This window comes from Homo sapiens, chromosome 16 (genome assembly GCF_000001405.40).
Source record: "Homo sapiens chromosome 16, GRCh38.p14 Primary Assembly".
Taxonomy (NCBI): Eukaryota; Metazoa; Chordata; class Mammalia; order Primates; family Hominidae; genus Homo; species Homo sapiens.
In genome coordinates, this window is record NC_000016.10 from 83,471,208 (window position 1) to 83,497,705 (window position 26,498).

Consider the following 26,498-nt stretch of genomic DNA (forward strand, 5'->3'; position numbering starts at 1 on the left):
TAAGATATTCACAGTTGTTGGGGATTAGGATATAGGAATGTTTGGGACCATTATTTTTCTAACCACCCTTTTTTTTTTTTTTTTTGAGACGTAGTTTTACTCTGTCACCCAGGCTGGAGTGCAGTGGTATGATCTCAGCTCACTGCAACCTCCACCCTCCGGGTTCAAATGATTCTCCTTCCTCAGCCTCCTGAGTAGCTAGGACTACAGGTGGCTGCCACAGCGCCCGGCTAATTTTTTGTATTTTTAGTACAGATAGGGTTTTACCATCTTGGCCAGGCTGGTCTTGAACTTCTGACCTCGTGATCCACCCGCCTCGGCCTCCCAAAGTGCTGGGATTACAGGCGTGAGCCACCTCGCCTGGCCTTTCTAACCACACTTTTATGCCTGCCTTTGTAACTGTGAAGCGACTTTTGCAGCTCAGAGAGGCTGCCCCATGTGTCCAGCCTCCCCAGTGAGTAAACTGAAGGCAGGGTTTGAAGTAGGCAGGATTTGATCTTGGAACCTGGGCTCTAAACCACTACTACACCATATGCTCACCCGAGCAGTGCCTAAATACCCAGCTTCTTAGCCAGGCTCTCAGCAACTTGCAAGGAAGAGTCATATTTTAATTACCTCTTGAGTCTCATCGAGCACATGGAGGAGACCTTGGGATATTGTTGAGGCTTAATATTGAGTTAAAATGGTGATTGTCTCCCTTGTACAAATCTACTTCTATTTAGACAACCTAAGGTTACTTTGGTTTTAAAAAATATCATTTCACACTAACCTTGCTTTCATTGAAGACTTCTCTTCTGCTTCTTTATCAAACGTGGTGCTTCTGGGCCATGCCTCTCCCGTCTTTTGATAACAACAATATTCTCAGAGAACACAGTGTCCTGGGCTGAATGTTACATGTAGTCACTCACTTAATCCATGCACCAACCCCATCAGGTGAAAACCATTACTGTCCCCACTTAGTACCGTTATACCTCAGGCTCACTGTTGTCCAGAGTGGAGCAGCTGTTCAGTGGCAGAGCTGGGACTGAAACTGGGGACTCTGTCTCCTGTGGGCATGCTGCTAACCCTCTGAGTATTGTGAGTCTGGATGGGAGGCCAGTGGGGATTTATGTTAGACGGTGCCCTGTGGTTGCAACAAATGAAAACCAACCCAGACTTTCTTTAACAAAGGGGAATTGATGAATAGATCTCTCCCCTAACAAGAGGCTGGAGATATGAGACTGGGGAGAGCAGGAGCCATGATGACTCTGGAGCCCTGAGGTCGGCCCCGGGAGCTGGCTTGTAGCAGAGGCAGTGGAGTCAGGGCACCGCCGCTCAGGGGCGGGACTCACAACCCCAGATCCGAGGGAGCATCTAGTGCAGCTCTCTTAAGTTGTGTCCATTGGCCCTTGGGGTGTGGGGAGCAGGTGCCTTTGGTCTCTCTTCTGCCAGGTTGTTTCTAAGAGAAGAACATTGCAATCTGGAAAAGCAGTATTATTGTAGGGTAGAAATGAACACATGGGGAAGAGCATTTAAAACCAAAAATGAAACAGATTATTCATACAGAGTGTGCCAGAAGCTACTGGATCGAATCTCCTTTTGCTCCTTAAATATTTATTGAGCACCTACTGTGTGGCTGGCCCTGTTTCATTCAGAGGATACGAGGGTGAATCAAATGTGCATTGTTAAGTTTTATGGATCTAAGTTATCCCTTGAGTGGTGGCCTGATGGCTTGGAAGAGGTAATACATCTGTCAGTTCTGACATCCACGGTGGAGAGAAATGAATCCTGCCAAATGGAAATGACTCTCCAGTTCCATGGGGGCACAGGTGGCCTGGAAAAAGCTACCCCAGTCTGTGAGCCCAGACAGTCCAGAAGGCCCCCTCTTAGATCTCAATCCCAGCGCATTTAATTTCAGTTTTGTGTGACCCTAATAGAGATCCTTCATCAAGTTTTATTCTTCATAAAAGATCCATTTCCATAGACTCATAAAGCAACTCCTTCTAATTCAGTGTTATTTTATACATACTTTCATTGCTCGCATCAATCACAGGCAGCCGACTTCCCAGCCATGAAACAACAGCTTGCAACATCACCATGTTACCCAATATGTATTTACTTATCAAGTTGGAGAACACATGTTTGCAAAATCAGCAACATTACAGCTTTACTAGCAATTTGCTAGCACTTTCTTCCCGTTGAACACGGAGTCTGAATTGTGTGGTATTTCACTATCCTGGCTCATTTGTATCTTGTAACTGCAGTAGTCACCAGCACCCTGAAACCTCCTGGAGATCCTTGTTGATCATACCTGGAACTTCAGCCAGGTCACTTACCTAACAGGTGTGGTTCTGGAGTCATCGATCATCTGTCCTGCACTACAACTCAAGGATATAGGTCCTATATGTCCCTCGGGCTTCTGGACCTAGCCTAAAGATGCCCCAGACAAGCTGTAATGCAGGGCAAGGTCCTCAATAGCCACTCTGTAGGGAGAATTCTGGAAAATTATCCTACCTGCAAAATGTAATGTGAAATATCTGACATGAGCTGTGTGGAGCTGAGTAGGGAAGTTGGGAGAATAAACCACACTTCCTGGGTTTGCCTCTCGTCTCAGCCACTTACCAGCTAGATAACTGAGGTGATGGGCAAGCGGCTTTACCTCCCTGGGCCTCAGCTTCCCTCTCCATAAAATGGGCTAATGACACCTGCCTCATAGGGTTTGTGGGATGATTAAATGCTTGCAATGCCCTGAGTCATCTGCTATGGTACGAACCCTCATAAAGGTTAGCTCCCCATCACTCCTGCACCAACTTTTGTATTCATTCAGGATTATGCTTTTGTGTGTCCCTCTGAGCCCATACTCAGCCACTTGCCAGTAGTGATGATGGAGTGGTTATTTGACTTCCCTGAGCCTGAGTCTCTTTCTTTTAAAATAGAGATGATCTAATTACCCTGGCAGGGCTATTAGAAGAACTATTTCTGGTGCACAGTCCACACATGTATCTCCTCCTCCATGGAATTACTGCAAAGGTCTCCTCCTCAGTGCCCCCTATATTTTACCTGCATCTTTAAGCCAACTTTACACAGTCATAGGTGTCAGCCCATTTTACAGATAAGGAAATTGAGCCTCTGTAAGGTTGTGTATGTTGCTCAGATCATGTAGCCAGTAAGTAAGGTGCCAGAGTCTCCATCTGTTCAGCTTCTATCATTCCAAGGATTCCACTCTCAAGGCCCCACACCAGGCCAGTAGAATAAAAATCTCTGGGGGAGAGTCTCAGACATCAAGAGAATTTTAAAATATCTTCAATGAGCAGCCAGGGTTGCAAGGCATACCCCCAGGCCATGTTTGCTCAACCTCATTCTCATGTACGGCCCACATCTGGTGGGTCCCACCAGAAAAAACAAGAGGGTGGGGGAAATTTAGCAGAAGTATTTCATTAAAAAGGAGGATGTAGCTTAGAATTCAGCAAATTAAAGCAGAAGCCAAGGAAATAGCAGTTCTCTGGTGTCCAAAGCAAGGTCAAGAGCTGGGAGCCCGAGGAATAAACTGTGAAGCCAGCACAGATCTCCCAGAACAGGGAACCCAGAGCTTAGGGCTGGAGAAGGCACTCCCAGAGAAGGTCCAAGCCTAGAGCAGTGACTGTTTGACTTCTGCCCAGGTACATCTTGCTTCTCACCCCATAGGGAAACAACCGCTGGAGGAGCCAAGTGTTCAGTGAGCCGGTGCAGTTCTGGGGCCATAATGATGAAAAGGAAGGCATGTGCATTGTTGCCTGCGCAGCTGAGTATAGGCACTGAGGCCGAGACACTGAGTGTCCAGGTGACCCCCTGTGTTTCCCAGGCCTTCCGCCATCTGGCTCCTGGCTCTTGACCACGACTGGCTGCGTGATTTGCAGAGCCCATTGTAAAATGAAAACTCAGGGTCCCTTGTTCAACAACAATTAAGAATGTCAAGAGGGTGACAACAGAGCACTAAACCCAGCACAGGGACTGTCTGAGCAAGGGGTTCTGTGCAACTGTGCAGGTCACACGTTCATGAAGTCCACCTGCTCTTGAGCTTGCCTTAGACACCAGGTCTGGCCGCTGAAGTGCAGGCAAGAGTGCTGTGTGTCGTTTCTGACTGAAGCGTTCAATGAGTCAGCATGTGAGTTTGCAACTCTCTGCCGCTCCTGCAGCAGTCAGGAAGCTGCATGTTCAAGGTGGCCTGGCTATAAGATGCAAGGGTCTGGATCCCTAAGCTGCCACTTGGAGAGAGGATCTGCCCCTTGAAGTGAACCCCCAAAGTGGACTGAATTTGAGTGAGAAATTAACTTTATGTGCTAAGCCACTGAAATGATAGGGTTGGACTGTTATCTCATTCTAGCCTAGCCTAATATAGTCTATGTGGTTTTTGTTGTTGTTGTTACTGTTTTTGAGACAGGGTCTCTCTCTGTCACCCAGGCTGGAGTGCAGTGGTGTGATCTCGGCTCCCTGCAGCCTTCGCCTCTCGTGTTCAAGCAGTTCTCACACCTCAGCCTCCCCAGTAACTAGGATTACAGGGACATGCCACCACGTTTGGCTAAATTTGTTTGCATTTTTAGTAGAGAAAGGGTTTCACCATGTTGGCCAGGTTGGTCTTGGACTCCTGACCTCGGGTGATCCACCCACCTCGGCCTCCCAAAGTGATGGGATTACAGGCATGAGCCACCATGCCTGGCCTATGGTCTGTGTTTTTAAAGAGCAAATTGCTGCGCCTTTGCCCTTAAATAGATATAAATGATAGCGACAATAAGCCCATTGTTCAGAATTAACCCAGGAGTTCATTAATATTTAGTGTCAGTTAAGTATCAATTATTTACCTGCTTCCTACTCCAGCTTTATATTACCTTAAGCTGTAAACGAAGAAAAATGATAAAAACTCATCTTTTATTTATTCACTTATTCATGTATTTATTCACTTGTGCATTTGGCAAATGTTTACTAGACTCTTAATACATGCAAAGCATTATTCTGGTGCCTTTGAACATTTTCATATTTGTCAGATATAGAGCAGCATCCTTGATCTCTACCCACTAGATGCCAATATCACATCTCCTGCCCCAGTTGTAACAACCAAAAGTATCCCCAGGCATTGCCAAATGTTCCCTAGAGGGGCTAAAATACCCCTCATTGAAAACCACTGCTGTAAAAAGGACTAGGCTTGCCATTTAAAAATCTCTTAAATTGGCTGGGCGCAGTGGCTCACACCTGTAATCCCAGCACTTTGAGAGGCCAAGGTGGGCAGATCACTCGAGGTCGGGAGTTTGAGACCAGCCTGGCCAACATGGTAAAACCATATCTCTACTAAAAATACAAAAATTAGCAAGGCGTGGTGGCGCATGCCTGCAATCCAAGCTACTTGGAAGGCTGAGGCATGAGAATCACTTGAACCTGGGGGACAGAGGTTGCTGTGAGCCCAGATTACGCCACTGCACTCCAGCCTGCACTCCAGTGACAAAGCGAGACTGTCTCAAAAAAAACTCTTAAATTGGTTAAACAAACAAAAAAAACCACACCGTGTCCTTTTGTTGTTTTTAAGAGTTTATGGAAAAATATATTGGAGAGTTACAATTACTTCAGGCTAATTCAATATAAAGAGTATTTTTATTATTAGTTTGGAATATTAAAGTTTCCACTTAAAATTGATTTTTTGAAGTGTTTTCAGGCAACATCATTTAATTCAGCATAGAGTATCCTATGTCTTTCAAAAAGAACTTCATGGGAATGGTAGATAAAAAGATTAAGTGGAATTTTTAAGGGGTGTAAGAAAAATCTTACTGTCGAAGTCTGGATAAAAGGAAGAAATTAGGACAGTAAAATGAATCATGATGGGGGACCCCAGTTTTGGCCATGTGTCACCTAATATGTCATAAACAGTTCTTCAGCTTCATTAAAGAATAGCTTACCAGAAAGAAGGGCAGACACTGGAGGCTGAACTGCAGCGAATGAAAACCTGAAATAATCACAAGGTGGTCCTGTTGCCATCATCTCTTTATCAGTATAAAAATAAACAACCTTTGAAAACAGATGGAGACAGTCATTGCTCAACTTGTCATAACTTATTACATATTTGGCTGTCAATTTGTACTTAAAAAACCAACTAGCTCCAGGGAGGCAAAGCAAAGTGGAGAGGAGAAGCGAAGCCTGTTGCATTTCAATTCAAGCCTGTGGTAATTTCAGCTGCATGGAGACACTTAGGACTGTTTTTAAATGAAGTCAGCAACTGTCCCAAAATTTAAGGCATTCTCATTTTAAAGAGCACAGTTGTGTTCCTATGGGATGGCACTTCCTCACCTCAAACCTGTATCAGGAGTATATATATCTCGTGCCCGTTTAGTCAGTGCTGCTCTCCCACAGGGTGAGATCTCTCTGAGCCAGATCATTCTCGGACAGATGATGAATTTTTCTGTTCCAAACAGGGAGGTGGGAGGAGGAAGGGCAAAATGTTTCCCATGGATGTACCACTTTTTAAAGTTGTAATCTGGAGTACTCATCAACAACATCTAATTCGTGCCTTTGGGGGAAAGAATGGCTCTACCAACAGACAAGGTCAAAAGCTGGTGGGCCTCAGACCGAAGCTTGCCATAACCTCTTTTGTTTGGCCTTCTAGTCCCACTGAGTGATCTTTTATTTTTTAAATTTGAACTAGTGTCTAAAAATCCAAATTCCCACCTTTTCTTAAAAAATCAAAAGATGGCTGGACGCGGTGGCTCATACCTGTAATCCCAGCACTTTGGGAGGCCGAGTCGGGTGGATCACGAGGTCAGGAGATCGAGACCATCCTGACTAACATGGTGAAACCTCATCTCTACTAAAAATATAAAAAATTAGCCAGGCTTGGTGGTCCCAGCTGCTTGAGGCAGAAGAATGGCATGAACCCAAGAGGCGGAGCTTGCAGTGAGCCGAGATCACGCCACTGCACTCCAGCCTGGGCAACAGAGCAAGACTCCGTCTCAAAAAAAAAAAAAACATCAAAAGATCTGGCTAGTCCAGACTTGTATTTCAGACATGCAGTAATTCCTTTGAGCTAAAAGGCAGCTGCCGCCTGAGGCAGGAGGCACACGCTCCAGTTTGCCACCAACCCCACCTCTCCCGGTTGCCTTGAGAGCGCTTTACTCATGTGAAGCTACCTGTATGGGCACTGGGTGAGTAGGTGAGCTTCTCACTCCTGGCCCAGCTCCCAGTCTGACCACAGAGAGTCCCACCTTTGAGGCCAGTGGAACTAGGCTCCTGTTAGAGGACTGACCAAAGGTCATTAGCATCTTCATCAAAACTCACATTATCAAGCACTTTCTGGATCAAATGCACAGCTGGACCACCATATGAAAATGTGGGAGGGGTCCTTGTGCTGGTGAATAACAACCCCTGGATAACTGGGCAACCCAGGGAAGGGCCGCCAAAGGAGCAAGGGTTACAAAGCCAAATCTCCCAGACCTTGCCTTAGGCCTAAGCCTGCTTCCTTCTTCTCTTTTCCCCAAAATTGGGCTGGAATCACCTCTTTTCTCTGCCACTCTGCAGTTCCATCCTCCTACCCTCAGAGTACAGGGGCAGGGATTTCTTTAACAGTCTTCACACCCAGAACTGAGAACCAACCTCCCACCTGGCTGGCCAGTAGAGTCTTTTGAAGATGAGAAAAAAAAAAAAAAAAAGAAAAAAAGAAAAAGCTGAATGATGAGCAGTGGCCTCCAATTGGACATCCCCTCAAATGAAAATAAAGCCAGTCCAAATGTAAGCCAGTGGGAAAATGAGACATTATTTACAATTCATCACATGGGTAGCTTTCCAGGAACACATGCCCTGCCAAACGTGGGCTGCCTCTGGATCCCTATCAGGTTGGTTGGTTATCTTTCATCAACTAGTCATTCGACAGTTTCCCTATCAATTGCTGTCTACTCAAGAATGTCCACAAGACCAGAGGAAGCGGATGCATGCATATGTGCACTCAACAGAAGTATCTAGGCTTGTCTAAGGGAAGAAAGGAATTGTTTCCTAACAAGATTTTAAGTAACTCCTGTTTCTGTAGATCCTGAGAGTGAGTCCTAGAAGCAGTGTGTCTTAAACCCTAAGTGGTTGGGTCCCACAAGCTATTTCCCTCGTCATGATTGCACTCAGCAGTGGGTCCTCACAGAACTGAGTTCTAAATTGTGAGAGTCAATGAAAATAACAAACTTACATTTCTCAGCTGGGCGCGGTGGTTCACACCTGTAATCCCAGCACTTTGACGGGCAGATCACGAGTTCAGGAGATCGAGACCATCCTGGCTAACATGGTGAAACCCCATCTCTACTAAAAATACAAAAAAATTAGCCGGGCGTAGTGGCAGACACCTGTAGTCCCAGCTACTCAGGAGGCTGAGGCAGGAGAATGGCATGAACCCGGGAGGCGGAGCTTGCAGTGAGCCAAGATTGCACCACTGCACTCCAGCCTGGTGGACTGAGTGAGACTCCGTCTCCAAAAAAAAACTTACATTTCTCCATTACTTACCATCATCCTGGCATTGGACTTTATATAGATTAATTTGTGCATTCTCAAAGGGGGTAATATTACTTCTAAGCAAGAGAAAGTTGGTCATTAGGAGAGAGGGGTTTATCACATCAGATGTATTAGATATTACAATGGCTTGTGCCCTGCAAGGGGCCATAGCACATAAATAGATACACGGTATTCTATAGAATTAACGTTTTGTGATGGAGTGAGAGGGTGTCAAGTCGAATAAATGTCTGAAAATATTCTTGGGGGAAGGTGTTAATGGAAACACAAGAGGCTCAGAGAGCATTGATTCACTCAATGCCTCCAACAACCCATGAGAGAAGAGCCATTTTGTCAATGAAAAGTTGAGGTGGGGCGTGATGGCTCACATCTGTAATCCCAGCACTTTGGGAGGACAACGTGGGCAGATCGCTTGACTCCAGGGGTTCAAGACCAGCCCAGGCAACATGACAAAACCCCATCTCTACAAAAATTAGCCAGGCATAGTGGTGCGCACCTATAGTCCCAGCTAATTGGGAGGCTGAGGTGGGAGGATCACTTGAGCCTGGGAGGTCAAGGCTGCAGTGAGCTGTGATCATACCACTGCGCTCCAACCTAGGTGACAGAGGGAGACCCTGTCTCAAACAACAACAATAAAATTTGGGGCTTAACTGCCCAGAGAAGCCCAGCAGGTGAGGCCAGGTTTTAAAAATAGATAGCCCAGGTCCTCAGCCGGGCCACTGGCTTGATTCTGCTTTGGTTTTGCACACCAGGGTCTCTTTCTTTGTTACTGAGGACGGTTAGGAGAGAACTGGCTCATGTCCACCTGCTTGGTCAGGAAACAATTTTAGATTGGTGTGTTTGGGGTGGCCAGTTGAGTGAATGGCTGTAGGCTGTGTCCCAGGCACTACAGTCACATTTGCAACAATTCTCACATTGGCAGTCTGCTGCTCATGACGAAGAGACGTGTCTACACCTGAAAGCAAAACTTGGCCTGCAGGGTGACCACCTCATTCTGGTTTGCCCAGGAGTGTCCTGGAATCCCCTCAGTCCTGGGAGAACTATCTGGTTCTCATTTGGAACCAGGAGGCCCCAAACCCATTCAAACTAAAGAATCTTCAATGGAAATTTAGTTTCCAATGAGAATCGTTCCAACTAGATATTCCCCAAAATGCTAGAATTTAAAATAGCAGCTTCTACATCTGTCTCACCTGGCTAAGCACCCTAAGCTGCTGCTGGTCTAAGGCTTGTCTTCTGACACAGGGGCAAACACACAAGTAACGTTGTGCACTACAGGATCCATGACCACATTCTCCTTTTGAAGCACCACTATTAGATCATTCGGTCACAGAAAGCATGGTTTGATTGGAATTAGAACTCACTGCCTCCTCTGGTGAGTTTGATGCTTGACAACGATGTGCCATTTTGTCACATCAAAGAGGTTCACCTGGTGACATCTGCCATCTCTGCTCATGTTTGCTTTAACATCACACTTCTCCCTGGAAAGCACACTGTTGCCCTAACTGTGCTATCAGAAATCCAGTGCTGAATATAGATCTGAATGTCTATGTCTCAATACGTGATTCGCTTATAGGAATAGCATTTTGTAAAAAATGAGCCTGACACTTTTTGATCAGGCAAAGGAAATGTTTAGGGATGGAGTCAAAGAAATGTTAAGAACAGCATAATTTTGTCACTGTCTTTTGGAGCATCCCCATCCTCATGGCCAGCTGAAAACCCCCCGTCACTCTCAGATCTGCGCTCTCCTTTCTCAAGGGGTTGGCCGTGCTTGAAGTCACAGGAAAGCAAAACTTCAAAGCTGGCTTTCAAGGTCAAGAAACCAGGCGGCACTTGCTTTAATGAGAGAGCTGCAGTCAGGAGGAAGGGGCTACCTGGCCACAAGGAAGCGATCACACTTGTTAATCAGCCTGTCAGGCTGGCGGCCGTGTCCTTCGGCAAAAGAAAATGACGGCCCAACTTGAGACTTTCAACCAGGAACCTGGGATGTTTTCTTCCCCCTTTGGAGGAGCTGCTGCTAGTTCATCTGGCTCAGGGAGTGACAGGGTGATTATAATTTATTTTGTCACTCAGGAGAGTATTGTGACGGGGGAAAAGACAGAAATGTACTGTGTGGAAGCCCCAATGCGTGTCTGTCATATAATTACCCTTTCTCTGCTGTCTGGAAACACAAGACAAGCCCGGATAGGAAGCTGCATGAGCTGGTGAAAACAAAGTGGTGGACATGGAGTCCAGTGTGTGGGACTGCATAAGAGGAGAGGCACAGGCATCACCCACAGGCAATTGGAGCAGGTGCACTGAGGCCCACCTGCTGCATGTCAGCCCTGGGCATAGCATTGGTATGTGACCCAGGAATCCCATTCCAGCAAGGACCTCCAAGGCGCATTGAACAGGGAGCTCAGAGGCAGTCGTGGAAAATCTCCAGGCACGTTGCTCAGTTGTTCATTCTTCTTGGAAGACAAGGTACTGGTGGCTCTGGTCAGTGTGGAATGAGGCAACACTACAGTGAATGGCAAGAAGCCAATTCAACCCAAAGAACACTGATGAGGACCTACCGCGTGTCAGACACTGGGCTTACAAAATGAACACAACAGTCTATACCCTCCAAGAGCTCACATCTAGGACCATGTGGCCCATCACAAAAAGATAGACAGTTCTGAAATAAAGAGGTTCCATCAACAGCAAAGTTTGGTGAGTGCTGCAGAGAGACACCCTCTCTTGGAGATTGATGCTGTAAGCGTGCTTAATAGAGGCACTGAAGAGTCCTCTGGGGAAACCTTGCTTTGCGGTGTTTGCCACGTATTTCCCAAATCTGTTTCTCGACTGAATCTATGGAGCCAGAGTTCCTCGGAACCAATTTAGAGAATGCTGGTTTAGGAGGTTTATCCAGCCTTTGCAGAACACAGAAGTAAGGAAACCATGATCCAGCCTCCAGGGGAAGGTACTGGCAAGAGCCAAGCATTGCACTCAGCAGATAGGTTGGGGTTCAAAGTAAAGCCTGGTCTTAGAGGCCGACTAGAGGACCACGTGGAGACATGGTGTAGACTACAGAATGTGTGTGTGCACGTGTGTGTGTGTTGTTGTGATATCCACAGTAGAAACCCAGATCTGCACACTAAGACCATGGGCAGGGTGGGAGAAGGGACCCGGTGAGAGAGAGGGCTGTCCTGCGACCCTTTGTCCCACATTCTTTGGACAACTTAATCCTAGTCTCCTGTATCTGAGGCCTTTGCCTGCACTGCCATAATTGGCTCAGAACCCAGGACAGAGTTGGATAATGCAAGGCTTCCTCTCTGAACACTAATGTACTAGGCACTGTACCAAGTTCTGAAAATAGGTCATCCCATGAAATCCTCACAACAACCAAAGGGGAATGTTGAAAACAGGGAAACCGAGGCTCAGAGAGAGATGAATAATGTGGCCACGGTCACGCAGCTTGAAAAGACTTGAACCCAGATACGTCACCTCAGAGTCGTTGTCTTCAATGCTGCAAACCTATTTACATAACTCAGGCACAATGCGGTTCCCTCAGAGGCGCGATTTCCTCCAGAGTAAATCCAGTGATGCATTCGTGTCTGGGTGAAGACAAACACGGGGCTTAAGACCGAGTTCACCTGTTCCCTAACAATCCATTAAAATAAAAACCATTTTCTGTGTATGCTTGGGAATATTCCAGGATAATTTTGTGTTACATCATGTTATCCAACCTGTAAACAAAAAGATATCCTCAGTGAATTTCCTGATGAAAACTAAAGACTCATCAACCTGAAAGGTCTTTTTTTTTTTTTTCTTCCTCTAATCATTTTAATGCATATGTCAGTTGCAAGCCATGATGACTTCATTTTTATACCTTCCATGACTTCAATTAAAGGCAGATTAAATAGGGCACAAATCCAATCAATCGAGCATTCATTAGACATTAACTAAGTGCAAGGCCCTGGGTCAAGTGTACTTAACTGGAGACTGGTGTGGAATTGATGGGGTTAAGGCCTCCTCCTATGTCTTTGGCCACATGGAGCTCCCTTTAGCATGTCCCTGGGTAAGATCGCAGGCCTGAAATCTGCCTCTGATTTCTGATGGGGATATCCTTAAGTTTGCCTAGATCAGGAAGTTTAATATGTGTCACATTTCACATCAGTTTCCATAGACTGTGAGTGGCTGCCTAGACCACTGTTGGATAACACTAATTCTGTAGCATGTCAATGGGAGACAGAGTCATGCTGTTCCTGCTGTCTTCCAGAGACAGGGGGGCTGCATGGGCCAAGAATGTTCTTTTCTGAAGCTGAACCTTGAAGCTTGCCCTGAGACCATCTCACAGGGCAAAGAAGCTAGGTGGATAGGAAGTGCACCTTGAAGCATGTGGCCGGATGGCACCATTGGTGAAAATAGCTGAGACTGCCTAACAAATCAATCCAACCTTGAGGGTGGCCAGATCTTCGTTGTTTATCTGATCAATCAGGCCTAATGACTGATACTCTGATTCCAGTGGTGGGGGAAAAAAAACTGGCTTTGATGATTAGAGAAGCATTGCTATGGAAGGAAAAGGAATTCTGGGTGGTGGTAAAACCAGATGAATTCTATCTTTCCTTTAGGCTTCAGTGTTTTCTTTGTATGACTATTCCTGCTGCTTTGTTGAATAGACATCTGCGGCTTTGATCTCTTCCGGTTAGGTCACACTTTGTGAGTCCAGACAGATTCAAAATCAGAAGATGGGCCTTATATTTGTAGAAGACTATATTGGGATAAAAAGTTATGGTTAGGCAGGATGCCCTAATCCAAATGTGGTAGCAATACAATTGCTATTGTCAATCATCAAAACCAGCAGGCATGTTTTTGTTGGTGCTTATAATTATGCTCTTTGTAAATTAAATTTTAATTGCCAAAGCAATACATTCACCTTGTAAAAATAAACAAAATGTTATAGATGAGGCCAACATCTTTCCCGATGACCATGCCAAATCCCAATCCCCTCTCTTCTTCTCCAGATTTAACCACCATTACCAGGGAGAAGTTCTCCTTATAGAGTTGTTCTATGCACTTATAAACTGTACCTGTAAAACATGTGAATAAAGTATTGTGGCATGTTCTGTGTGTAAGCATGTTCACAAAAATGGTATCACTATCCCCCTGTGGGTAAGGAAAGTTAAAACGTGCCACATTTCACATCAGTTTCTGTATACTTCAAGTTGCTACCTAGACCACTGTTTGAGAACGCTGATTCCATGACAAGGTCAATGGGAAACAGAACCATGTTGTTCCTGCTGCCATCCAAAGGCAAGGGGGCTGCATGGGCCAGGAATGTTCTCTTCTGGTGCTGAACCCCAAACATTCCTCAACCTAACATTTTTACTAATTAATATATCTTGAAGAGTTTCCCACATTAGAACCCATTAGATCTACAGTCTTTTTAAGCTGCTGCAAAATATCTCAGTGTGAGAATACTATCATTTTGGCAATTCCCCTGTTGATGAACAGCTAGGCTGTTTCCAAATTTTTCACCTTGACAGATAATTCAGCTAGAAATTTATTTGCACAGATCCCTTGCGGACACGTGCAGTTGTTTCTGAAAGTAGATGCCAAGGAGGCGAAGGCATTGTTTTTACTCTTTGCTGCCCAATGGTCCTTGACAATGGATATACCAGTTTCCCTTTATATCAGCTGCATGGGAGGGAGACCCATTATCTGACACCCTTATCAATCATTGACATAATCCAACACTCCACATGCTTGTTATAGAATCAGGTCCTATTTGTATGACTCTTGCTTGTTTGTGAGTGAACCCAACCATGTTACCCTCATTTTATATTGGAAGTCCCTAAAATAACACGGCTGCTACATAGTAGGTACACATTAGTGTTTGCTCTCATTCCCTTTAACTGGAATGCCTTTTTGCTCTGAGGTCCCTTTGACTTGTTCCTGCCTACTCTCTTCTTACGGGTCCTCATCAGACACCTTTGTGCAAACCCCAGACTAGATAAGGTTGTTCATCTCTGTATTCATAATGCCCTCTCTCAGTGTGCCTGATAAGTCTTATTGTTTGTTATATATTTATCTCTTCTACTGATTTCTGAGCTCCTGCACACCCAGGAGCATGCCTCTTTGTACTCCTGTTTCCCCAACACGCAGCCCAGGCACATGGAGTTGGCATTGAATCAGAGCTTTAAAAATGAAGGCCATGGCTAGATGGAATCTTGTAATCCCAGCACCCTTGGAGGCCGAGGCAGGTGGATCAGCTGAGGTCAGGAGTTCAAGACAAGCCTGGCTAAAATGGTTAAACCCCATTTATACCAAAAATACAAATATTAACTGGGCGTGATGACACACAACTGTAATCCCAGCTACTTAGGAGGCTGAGGCAGGAGAATCACTTGAACCTGGGAGGCGGAGGTTGCAGTAAGCCAAGATCACGCCGCTGCACTCCGGCTTGGGTGACAGAGCGAGACTCTGTCTAAAAAAATGAATGTCCCTGTCACAAAGCCACATCCACAGTGGAATGAAAGCCCCTGAAAATAAACAGTGTATCACCAGAGGGAAAAATTAAGCAGTCACTCTGCTGAACAGCAAAGATGTTTTCTTCTTTATTTCAGGTCTTTTCATGGAATGAAACAGAGAGGGAAAGGAGGAAGAAAAGCTGAAACATAGCAAAGCTTGGGAAATACTTTTCTTTTTTAATTTGGAAAGTGATGGGCACACTGCTGCACTGCTATTGCCCAGGTGGGGAAGGGGCTCTGGCCGTTGTTGACCCATTGATAACCATTCCGTGCCTTTCTGTCTTGCCCCGGTAGGCACCACAGTGATGCGGATGACAGCCTTTGATGCAGATGACCCAGCCACCGATAATGCCCTCCTGCGGTATAATATCCGTCAGCAGACGCCTGACAAGCCATCTCCCAACATGTTCTACATCGATCCTGAGAAAGGAGACATTGTCACTGTTGTGTCACCTGCGCTGCTGGACCGAGAGGTGAGCTGAAAAGAATACACTTTCTTTTTCACGAGAATAGAATGTGGCTTTCATGCAAGGGATGATGTGGGGCTCCAGTCAGTGGTTTTTTTTAATACTGTAAAGGCAGAAATGAGGTGTTTACCATGTTTTGGTGGGGAAAATCTATAAAGGGAAATGGGATATTATGTGACCCAAGAAAACACGTGCTCTAAAAGGCTAAAGCGCCTGGAACTGTTTGTATTCACTCAACCTGATGCCTATTTCCTCAACAGCCACTTATTCTCTAGGCCCTGGTGATTCTAGACTCTGCCTCTGGCCCCTGCTTTAATGCTAGAAGGGAGAGGGAAGGACAAGGGAAGGAGGGGAAGGGAGGAGAGGTGGCTTCATCCAAGATCACACAGGCTGTCCTTGTTGCAGAGTCAAATGCCCATGACTCCTTTCTCCAACCCTTTGCTGCAGGCATCCTGCATTCCCCCTTGAACCCCTCTCTTCCTCCATCTCTGTTCTCATCCCTTTAGGCTTTCTCCGTGAAATCTCCCCCGTCTCCTGGGTCACATGTCACAAACAGGTGACCCCTGGCCCAGTCAGTCCACATGCCTGCTCTTTCGTTTTGCCTGCAGTGTTTTACAGCTTTTAGAATTAGTTGTCATATCAAAATATTTAGATTTCACGTTTCTGTTTTAAAAATGCCAATTTCCAGTTTTTCTGGACATCAGAAATCCTGGAGACATCAGGTCCACTTTCCACATGTGCACTATCGGTGGTGTGAGGTGTGATGCTCCAGTGGATCCAGGGTCTGCTGTCCCCTTTAGATGGGACATGTGCTCCCACCTCGATTACGTTTCCACGTGCATGGGCCCCTCTGGTCCTGCCCTTTCCTGAGTTTGAGGTCCACCGTGTAGCTTACCATAAGCTACTTTAAGTAGAAGACCCTCGCGGACCTCCAAACACAGCATCCTTAAACCAACTCGTGGATTCCTACCCATCCTTCACTCTCCATCCACCCTAAACCTGCTACCATTCTGGAATTCCCTGCTCCTGACATCATCCCACAGGCGTGGGGCCTTGGAGTTGTCCTTGACCTTCTGTAAGAACCATCAGCTCCACGTAACTGCTGGGCTTCCCTCGGGGGCTCTGTGCATTTCCCCCTCAGTGTTTTTGATGAAATAAATCCATGGTTCGGAGTGTTGTTTCCTCTGCTTTCTCCTCTCTTATGTGCTATAGTTTCTCAAGAGATTCTGGATTACATCAACCCCTTCTAAGAAGCTGTCCTCATCCACCTGATTCTTCCACAGTCTTGTTCTTCCTCCCATCTCTGACTACTCTTGCCTGTAGCCATCATATAGCAGTTGGCATGTGCTAATTAGGTTGTCATTTGTCTCTGAAGAAGATTCTCTTTCTCTTGGTCTAGACCTGAATTGTCCAGTAGAGTAACCACTAGTCACATGGGGTTATTGCAATTTTAAAGTATATTAATTGAAATCAAGATGTAAAAATCAGCTTCACAGTCACAGACACATCTCAAGTGCTCAGCAGTCATATGTGGTTGGTGGCTATTGTACCGGACAGTGCAGACCTAGAACACTTCCATCACCCCAGAAGGTTCTACTGGGCAACAATGGCCTAGACTGTATGTTTCCTGACAACAGAGACTGTGGTCATATGCATGTTTATATTTCTACTGCCTAGCATGGTTGAAGTACTTCTAAAAATCCTAATTATATGTTTGTTGGCATAGAGGGAAAAAAAGGAAAAAGAGTTGGAAATAAAACTAAGATCTTACATAAGCTGTGAGAAACAGAAGCTAGAAATAGGTAATTATTGAAAGGGAGAGACAGAGAAATTTGCATTGAAACTCTGATTGTCCTTTGGAAAATGTAATCGTTTCTAGTTAAAGAATAGGGAAGTAGAAAAAGTAATGAGTCCATTATATTCATTTCATCTCCCATTCTCTTTCCAACCCTCCCTATTTTTTTATTTTTTTATTTTTTTTATTTTATTTTATGAGACAGAGTCTTGCTCTGTCACCCAGGTTGGAGTGCAGTGGCACGATCTCAGCTCACTGCAACCTCCACTTCCCAGGTTGAAGCAATTCTCCTGTCTCAGCCTCCTGAGTAGCTGGGAATACAGGCGCCTGCCACCACACCTGGCTAATTTTTATATTTTTAGTAGAGATGGGGTTTCACTATATTGGTCAGGCTTGTCCCAAACTCCTGACCTTAGGTGATCTGCCCACCTCGGCCTCCCAGTGTGCTGGGATTACAGGGATGAGCCACTGCGCCCGGCCAATGCTCCCTATTTTTATGACTGACATATTTTCTTCTTTTGGAGGCCAGTGATGACTTCCCAAGGCTCTCTATTCCCCACTTGACACGTGTGTGCAGGTGCACACACACATGCCAGCTTTTCTATAGTCCTTAATGCTCCCAAAGCTTCTCACAAGATCCTTTCACAAGAAAAAGATGAAGCATGGTGATTTCTCCGTTTCAGCTTCTCTTTGTTCTGAGAGAAAATATTTTATAAGTCTCTATTTATAAATCAAAGTGATAATGTAGTAAATTATCCCATTTTTAAAGTTTATTTTAGGGGACAAATGTGTTTCCAGCTCATGATCTTTTCATTTGGGCTTTCATTAAGTTGTAATAAGTATGTAATTATGGAAGTTGAATTAAGCATTTCTAGTCACAAAACATCAACAGCCCCCCAAAAAAGATCAACTCAATTTAACCGAAATTGGAAAATCAATGAAAATGAATAAAGAGTGTCACTCTTCTGTGAGGGTTTCCAGAGTTCATTGCTGATCCAGGCAACATCAGTGCAATCCAAAGGAAAGAAATGTCCCTAAATTTAGGCAAGCTTTGGCTAGTTCCTTGTGCTGTGATAAGCTTCACTTCAGCATGTTTGCTGAGGAGGTGGAACGTGATTCCAAGTTCTTGTCTTTGAGGGTAAAAAACTTGCACATCAGATGTCCAGTGGAGTTCCCCAGAGTTTGCAATGTTTTCCTCCCATTGAGACTTGGCACTTTTTGTAGGATTCACATGGATGCGATACTTTCTTCAGCAGGTTTGTGAGATTTTATTATTAATATTATTTCTGAAGACCTTCTGAGAAGGCCTGTCTTAGGTGTGGTTTTAAAGTCTACTTCTCAGCCAGATGGGCAGAAAAAACATTTAATACAGACTTTTGCAGCATTCATTTAAGAAAGTATCCCATTTGGGACCCTGTGGACTTTGAGATGATTCAAGTTGATTTTAAGGTTTGTTACCTTGTCTCCTGTCTTCATTCGCAGTATCTCAAATTGCGTGTTGGAACAATGAATATAGTGATTCCAGTTCTGTCACAAACTCCTTCAAGAGCAGGAGCTGCAGAAACCACACACACACACACACACACACACACACACACACACACAGCTCACCAGCACCTCTGGCTCTCACCTGAATGAGGGACAAAGCAAACGTGTGTTTCCTGGCTTGTTGGGAGTGGATACTCTGGAATCCCATTGGGTGACACGAGCTAAGTTGACACAATAACAATTTTTCATCTTTATTTTCCATTTAGTCAATTTCCTTTCTTAAGTGCATCTACCAAGGAGGACCCCAGCAGGAAGTGTTTAACCAAGGGAGAGGCAGATGATGCAAGATGAGTGGGGAGGTGGCAGGCACTGGGAATTTTCTGTGAATCTGCCTACCTAATCATCTTCCCTGCCTTTTATAGATTCACTTTGTAACAAGGCTTGTAACTGAGGATAGTCACACAGGGCAGTGTAGAAATGATCCTTACTATGTTGTCACTTTGGTTGTTATCCTTTCTTCTTCCCACCCTCCTCCCTTCCCAGGATGTCTCACATGGAGCCATCTGAGGCAGGTGCACTCATCTAATCTGCTCCTCTCCTGCTCCAAGGATTGGCAGCCACTATTCTTGAAAGAGTCTATGGCCTATCTGCTTGCACTCACCATAGTCAATGCTCAAACATGCAATTTGTGGGATGATGTTTGGCTTGCCCATGACCTATTGCCAGTACCTAGCACATGAGAGATGCTCAAAGAAATATCTGTTGAGAGTTGAAAGGCGGGAAGGAAGTGAGGAAGACAGCGTGATTCACACTGGCTTGAAAGCAGGTGAACTGGCCATTTCTTCCCCTTCCATATCTTAAGCTCCGCATTAATAGATATCAAGTTTCCCCAAGACATGTGCGTTTTCCATTACACGCTCATCCATTTACTTGTTCGGAAAACCCTACCAGAATATACGCTTCTGGAAGAAAGGGACCTTGGATTTCTGTTCTCTCTCTCTATTCCCATTGCCAAATATAGCACCAGATAAATAATAGGCACTGGATAAAGATCTGTTAGGTTATCAGGGTGGATGAGTGGATGACCTGTGTTCCTTAAGTTTGTATTATCTCAGAACATTCTGCAGGATCCACATTCTGGCATGGATATATAAACAGAGGAAGTTACTTTATTATAGGTGAAAGCTTAGTCTTACCCTTGTGCAATCATCTGGTAATCTAATTTATTCACTTTATGTTTACCTTCTGCAGGAACTGCTTTAAGAAATAGTGTCTTGGTCCACTGGGTGAATAGGATGGACAGGAGTATCTGTGCCTCTTGCTTAAGTGTTTGGGGAGATGTTTGCGGAAAATAAGAGCCATATATTCCAGTAAATGAAATTAGGTTCATTTGGGGCACTTTTTTATTATTTTCTATAGCCATACTTAGCCCCCCATTTCTGGCATCTCTGTCTATGTTTTTAAACTATGTCTGGCTGCACTACAAAATAAAATCAGATAAAGGTCTCTAACGTTTGATAAATGTTTTATTTAGTTGATCATCTTGGCTGCTAGACTGAAATTCATCTGCTGGAATCTGCCAGCTTTCTGAACACAGCCACAATTTGCAACTACTCAGAGTAACTAATGGTCAGGGTTTTTTTTTTTTTTCTTTTTTAATGGAAATAGTTTCCAAAATAGACTCATAAAAAAGCAATCTTAACATTTGCATTGAGAAAGTATCATTAGTCTTTTTAAGGGGTTTGAGCTGAGCACTTTTCTGTCTTTGTTTGAATTTGCCTTTACCTTATTATCTATTATCTTCCAGATAATCTAGGGAAAGTGATAGCCTGCCCGTGAAAATGTACATATAATACAAGATATTAGGGCTGTGAATGTAATTTGTTTTGTATTTTCAGCTGGTAACGCACTTTCTGAAACTTTATAATGCCCAAATTTTTAGGCCAGATGTAAAAATGGAGAGAATTTCTTTCTTTCTTTCCATGGTAAGTGTTACATAAGGACTTAGTCTTAGATTTATGTGCATTTACTTGCTATGAGATATTCAAGAGTCCTTGAATATGTCAGAGAAGAAAACTGAAGAATGTTAGGGAGAACATCCTATGCCATCTAGCCAACGAATTTGGATGTGTAGCTGCAAGCCCAAAGAGAACTATGTATTTGGTCAAAATGACCCATGTTAAAATATTGTCACGTAGCATGCATCTCCAGAAACATACTAAAGACATCTGTGAAAATGATGATATCAAATCAAGCTGCCAGAAAAGAACAATGGTAAAAAAGGATAGCATTTCCTCCAGTGCCTTCAATGAAAGATAGAGGTAGTAGTCATACTCTTAGGAAAATAAATGTTTTTAGGCCTTTCTGATTTAATGCTAATACTTTTCTCATTATCATCATGTTTAAAACATTGGCAGTAATTACACACAATTCAATCATGCTGTCAGGAATATTATCTTGCTTTGTTTTGGTGGGTGGGACCAGAATGATTCAGATAGTAGCATCCTCACAATTTCTTCGAGCTATTTACTCATAAATATTTCTGTTGGGGTAATTTTCCCCATTTTTTTTATCACTTGCTGCTGTGAAAATTGAGATGGAAAAAGTAGATGTAAATAAATTGCCTTATTATTTTTAAAATAATGCATTATCCTTTCAAATGAAACACAGCTAACCACCCTATGCTAATTGCACTTGCTCCGTTGTTTCAGCAAATAAAGTAGAATAGGACATTCAAAAGGCAGAATGCTAAGTCCTGGGGTCTGAAATTTAGTTCCATGAGTGCAGGCCTCCTGCTGATGGCAATGGGGATTGGTGGGAGGGTTAGAGATGGGGAAGGCCAGGGTCTTTATCTTGTGGCCTCATTTGCTCCTCCACTCTGGATAAATTCTAGAAGAAGACCTTGATGAGTCTCAGGACTCCACTGGTAACCGTAACCACTTCCCCCATCCCTCTTAGTGTGACCTATCAATCCATTAAAGCTAAGACCGTGGCTAGTCTCTTAGTATGACCGCAATTTAGTTGAAACCTGGCTTCAGAGAAATGGGCCAAGGGCATAGACTACCTGTGTTTTTTGTTGTTGTTGTTGTTGTTTTTGGTTTTTTGTTTGTTTGTCAGTTGTGAGACCTCTCTAAACCTCGATTTCTTCATCTGCCACAGTGAGAATAATCACAATCCCAATCTCATTGGCTTATTGAAAAAATTCAAATAAGATGTGCCAAGTACTAGCGTGATACTTATCTATAAGCACTCTGTAAATATTAGTTGGTATTAGATGTTTCCATGATTGACAATGAGACTGAAGAAGCAGAAAGAAGTTGGAGTTTCTCCTACAGGACGTACATTTACACTTTGCCCACACGGCAGAGACTATGGCAAGTTTCTTTAAATTGAATGAAAGACAGAGCTAATCCAGCCTACAAAATTCAGCAATAAAAGCTAGTAAATAAGTATTGAGCACCACAAATGTCTGCTGAACTCATGGTGCTGGATATCAGGACGCAAAGATTGAGCTGCCTGCATTGGAGGTAAAGCAGATATGTCGACAGCACACGCATGCAAAGATGTGCTGTTCAAACCGAACCTTGATGGCTGTGTGGAAACCTGGAGTGCGGAAGCAGAAGGAAGGGCATCGTGGGGAAAGGAGTGGCATGGACAAAGGCATGGCATATTCACATGCTACTTAAAGACTCCAGAGATGAGGCTGTGGTATAGAGAGATACCAGAAAAGGGCAGGGAGTTTGAACAAGATTGCAAAAGGCTTCTAATGTCATTCAAACGATTATAGCTATATCCTACTGTAAATGGGAAACCACCATTATTTAAACATTAAACACAGCTCTGTTCAACACAGCATTCACAGAGCTGTGACTTGGACAGAAAATGAGTTAAGCTAAAGGAGAGATCGTCAGTGGCAAAGTTCAGGCGTTTTGGAGACAGGTTGAGACTGACAAGTTGGTTCTCGACATTTCTAGCCTGATGGAGATAAGAGCTGAGGAGCTACCACTTGAATCTAAATTCTGAGCTTGTTAAATAGATTAATAAACCTCAGTCCGTAGGTATTTTCTTTCTTCTGTTCTTGGGCTTCTTAAAGTATCAGACAATCAGTAGTTACTGGGCACATGTTGAATCAAGAGACACTTAACTTTATCATGAAGAAAGATTCATCTTTTTAGATTTAACAAATGTTTAATTCTCTAAGATATTTCTTTTCTTTTTGGTATTTTATATGGTAAAGATAATTTGCAGAGTGATGATGAATTTAGAGTACTTCTCTTTTTTGTCATTTTAAATTTCTTCATTTTATTTTATATGAAGTACCCTAAAAAGCTAAAGAATGTTTTCATTTTTGGAAAAAGTTCTTTTCGAGAGCTGTTTATTTTTCTTTATCAGCCAAAAAGTATGATTACTATGTTAATGCAGGTTTTGCTTCATCAAGAGATTTTCCAGTTATTGAACTTAAATAACATTGTTCTAAACCCCAAATCCTCTAAATTCCTGTTGTCAGTGAAAGAGGTACCTTCTAATTTGGAAAGAATATCTAGTTCAGTTCTGATTTCAAACCAGCAGAGAAAAATAAGAAAAATGTTGCTCCTGCCATATGGAGAATGACCATCATTTAAGGAAAGAAAAGTTGGTTGAGAGTTTTTGGGAAGTAACTGTTTTGTACTTCCTTTAATGTACTCAGTGTCCAGAGCAGGAACTGGGTGGTTAGAACAGCTGCAATATGATTCCACTGGAAAGCAGTTTGCAGAGAGGCAATCAAAAGCTGCAACACTTAGATTAAGGCAAACTAATGATAGACCATTTCAAGACATGATGACATCTCAAAATGCCTGGGATCCACATTTCTTTCACTTTTGTTTTAAGAGGTATCTCATTTGCTGTGCCTTTTCATAGGATAAAAGCTTGTTGATCGTATTATTTAGTTGAACACTTTGGGGTTCTAAAAGCCGTGATCAACCTTATTGGACATATGGCACTATGATGTCACATTCAACAATGAAAGGCACTTCAAGTTATAGGATCATCTATTGCATTGGAGGTCAGGAAACTTTTTTTTTAAAGGGCCAAATAGTAAATCGTATAGACTTTCTTGGCCAACAGGCAAACTTGAAGATATTATTATCAACAGAAAGAGTCAAACTCTATAAAATTTGAAGAGATTTATTACTTCATTCTGAACCAAATATGAGTGACCATGGCCACTGACTCAGCCCTCAGGAGACCCTGAGAACATATGCCCAAGGTGGTCGGGCCACAAATAAGTTTTATACATTTTAGGGGGACATAAGCCATTAATCAATACTTGTAAAATGTACAATGGTTCGGTCTGGAAAGGCAGGACAACTGGAGGAGGGTGTGTTTCCAGGTTATAGGTGGATTCAAATATTTTGTTTGGCAATTGGTTGAAAGAGTTTAAAGACCTGGAATCAATAGAAAGGAAATGTCTAGCTTAAGATAAGGGGTTGTGGAGACTGAGGTTCTTACTATGTAGACGAAGCCTCCAGGTAGCAGGCTTCAGAGAGACTAGATGGTAAATGTTTCTTGTCAGACTTTAAAAGGTATCAGACTCTTAGTTAATTCTCTCTTGGATCAAGAAAAAGGCATGAGAAGGGGAAAAGGGATTTTCTACAAAATATAGTTTTTTTCCCCCATAAGAGACAGCTTTGCAGGACTATTTCAAGATAGGGCAAAGAAACATATTTGGGGTTAAAATATTTTTATTTCCTTCCTTATCTGTCATGTGATGTTATTGCCAGAGTCAGGCTGGAAAGTAAGCCACATTATGTAGGGTTAAATGAAAGCCCTCTTTTGAGACTTTTTGGCTTGTAGAGCATGATTCCCCAGATGTCTTAGATAGGAATTTGGGCAAGTGAAGAAAAAAGGTCAGAGTTTAGTCCTCATTATGCAGGTACTTATATAACCATTAACAGACAAACAGAGAGCCAAATCATGAGTGAACTCCCATTCACAATTGCTTCAAAGAGAATAAAATGCCTAGGAATCCAACTGACAAGGGATGTGAAGGACCTCTTCAAGGAGAACTACAAACCACTGCTCAAGGAAATAAAAGAGGATACAAACAAATGGAAGAACATTCCATGCTCATGGGTAGGAAGAATCAATATCGTGAAAATGGCCATACTGCCCAAGGTAATTTACAGATTCAGTGCCATCCCCATCAAGCTACCAATGACTTTCTTCACAGAATTGGAAAAAACTACTTTAAAGTAAGTATGGAACCAAAAAAGAGCCCGCATCGCCAAGTCAATCCTAAGCCAAAAGAACAAAGCTGGAGGCATCACACTACCTGACTTCAAACTATACTACAAGGCTACAGTAACCAAAACAGCATGGTACTGGTACCAAAACAGAGATATAGATCAATGGAACAGAACAGAGCCCTCAGAAATAACGCCGCATATCTACAACTATCTGATCTTTGACAAACCTGAGAAAAACAAGCAATGGGGAAAGGATTCCCTGTTTAATAAATGGTGCTGGGAAAACTGGCTAGCCATATGTAGAAAGCTGAAACTGGATCCCTTCCTTACACCTTATACAAAAATCAATTCAAGATGGATTAAAGACTTAAACGTTAGACCTAAAAACCATAAAAACCCTAGAAGAAAACCTAGGCTTTACCATTCAGGACATAGGCATGGGCAAGGACTTCATGTCTAAAACACCAAAAGCAATGGCAACAAAAGACAAAATTGACAAATGGGATCTAATTAAACGAAAGAGCTTCTGCACAGCAAAAGAAACTACCATCAGAGTGAACAGGCGACCTACAAAATGGGGAAAATTTTCGCAACATACTCATCTGACAAAGGGCTAATATCCAGAATCTACAATGAACTCAAACAAATTTACAAGAAAAAAACAAACAACCCCATCAAAAAGTGGGCGAAGGACATGAACAGACACTTCTCAAAAGAAGACGTTTATGCAGCCAAAAAACACATGAAAAAATGCTCATCATCACTGGCCATCAGAGAAATGCAAATCAAAACCACAATGAGATACCATCTCACACCAGTTAGAATGGCGATCATTCAAATGTCAGGAAACAACAGGTGCTGGAGAGGATGTGGAGAAATAGGAACGCTTTTACACTGTTGGTGGGACTGTAAAGTAGTTCAACCATTGTGGAAGTCAGTGTGGCGTTTCCTCAGGGATCTAGAACTGGAAGTACCATTTGACCCAGCCATCCCATTACTGGGTATATACCCAAAGGACTATAAATCATGCTGCTATAAAGACACATGCACACGTATGTTTATTGCGGCACTATTCACAATAGCAAAGACTTGGAACCAACCCAAATGTCCAACAATGATAGACTGGATTAAGAAAATGTGGCACATATACACCATGGAATACTATGCAGCCATAAAAAAGGATGAGTTCATGTCGTTTGTAGGGACATGGATGAAATTGGAAGTCATCATTCTCAGTAAACTATCACAAGAACAAAAAACCAAACACCGCATATTCTCACTCATAGGTGGGAACTGAACAGTGAAATCACATGGACACAGGAAGGGGAATATCACACTCTGGGGACTGTTGTGGGGTGGGGGGAGGGGGAAGGGATAGCATTGGGAGAAATACATAATGCTAGATGACGAGTTGGTGGGTGCAGCGCACCAGCATGGCACATGTATACATATGTAACTAACCTGCACAATGTGCACATGTACCCTAAAACTTTAATAAAAAAAAAAGTGACCATTAAAAATTATAAAAAGCATTTTAAAGCTCATG

At 43.4% G+C, this 26,498-nt stretch overlaps 1 protein-coding gene across 6 annotated transcripts in view; it reads left to right on the forward strand.

Moving 5' to 3' along the window:
* Nucleotides 1–26,498, forward strand: part of CDH13 (cadherin 13) — a 1,173,672-nt gene that overhangs the window by 844,239 nt on the left and 302,935 nt on the right. For all 6 annotated transcript variants that reach the window (NM_001220488.2, NM_001257.5, NM_001220489.2 and 3 more), the window contains one exon: nt 15,270–15,448. In NM_001220488.2, the coding sequence (NP_001207417.1) occupies nt 15,270–15,448 (179 nt within the window). The remainder of the gene's footprint in view (nt 1–15,269; nt 15,449–26,498) is intronic.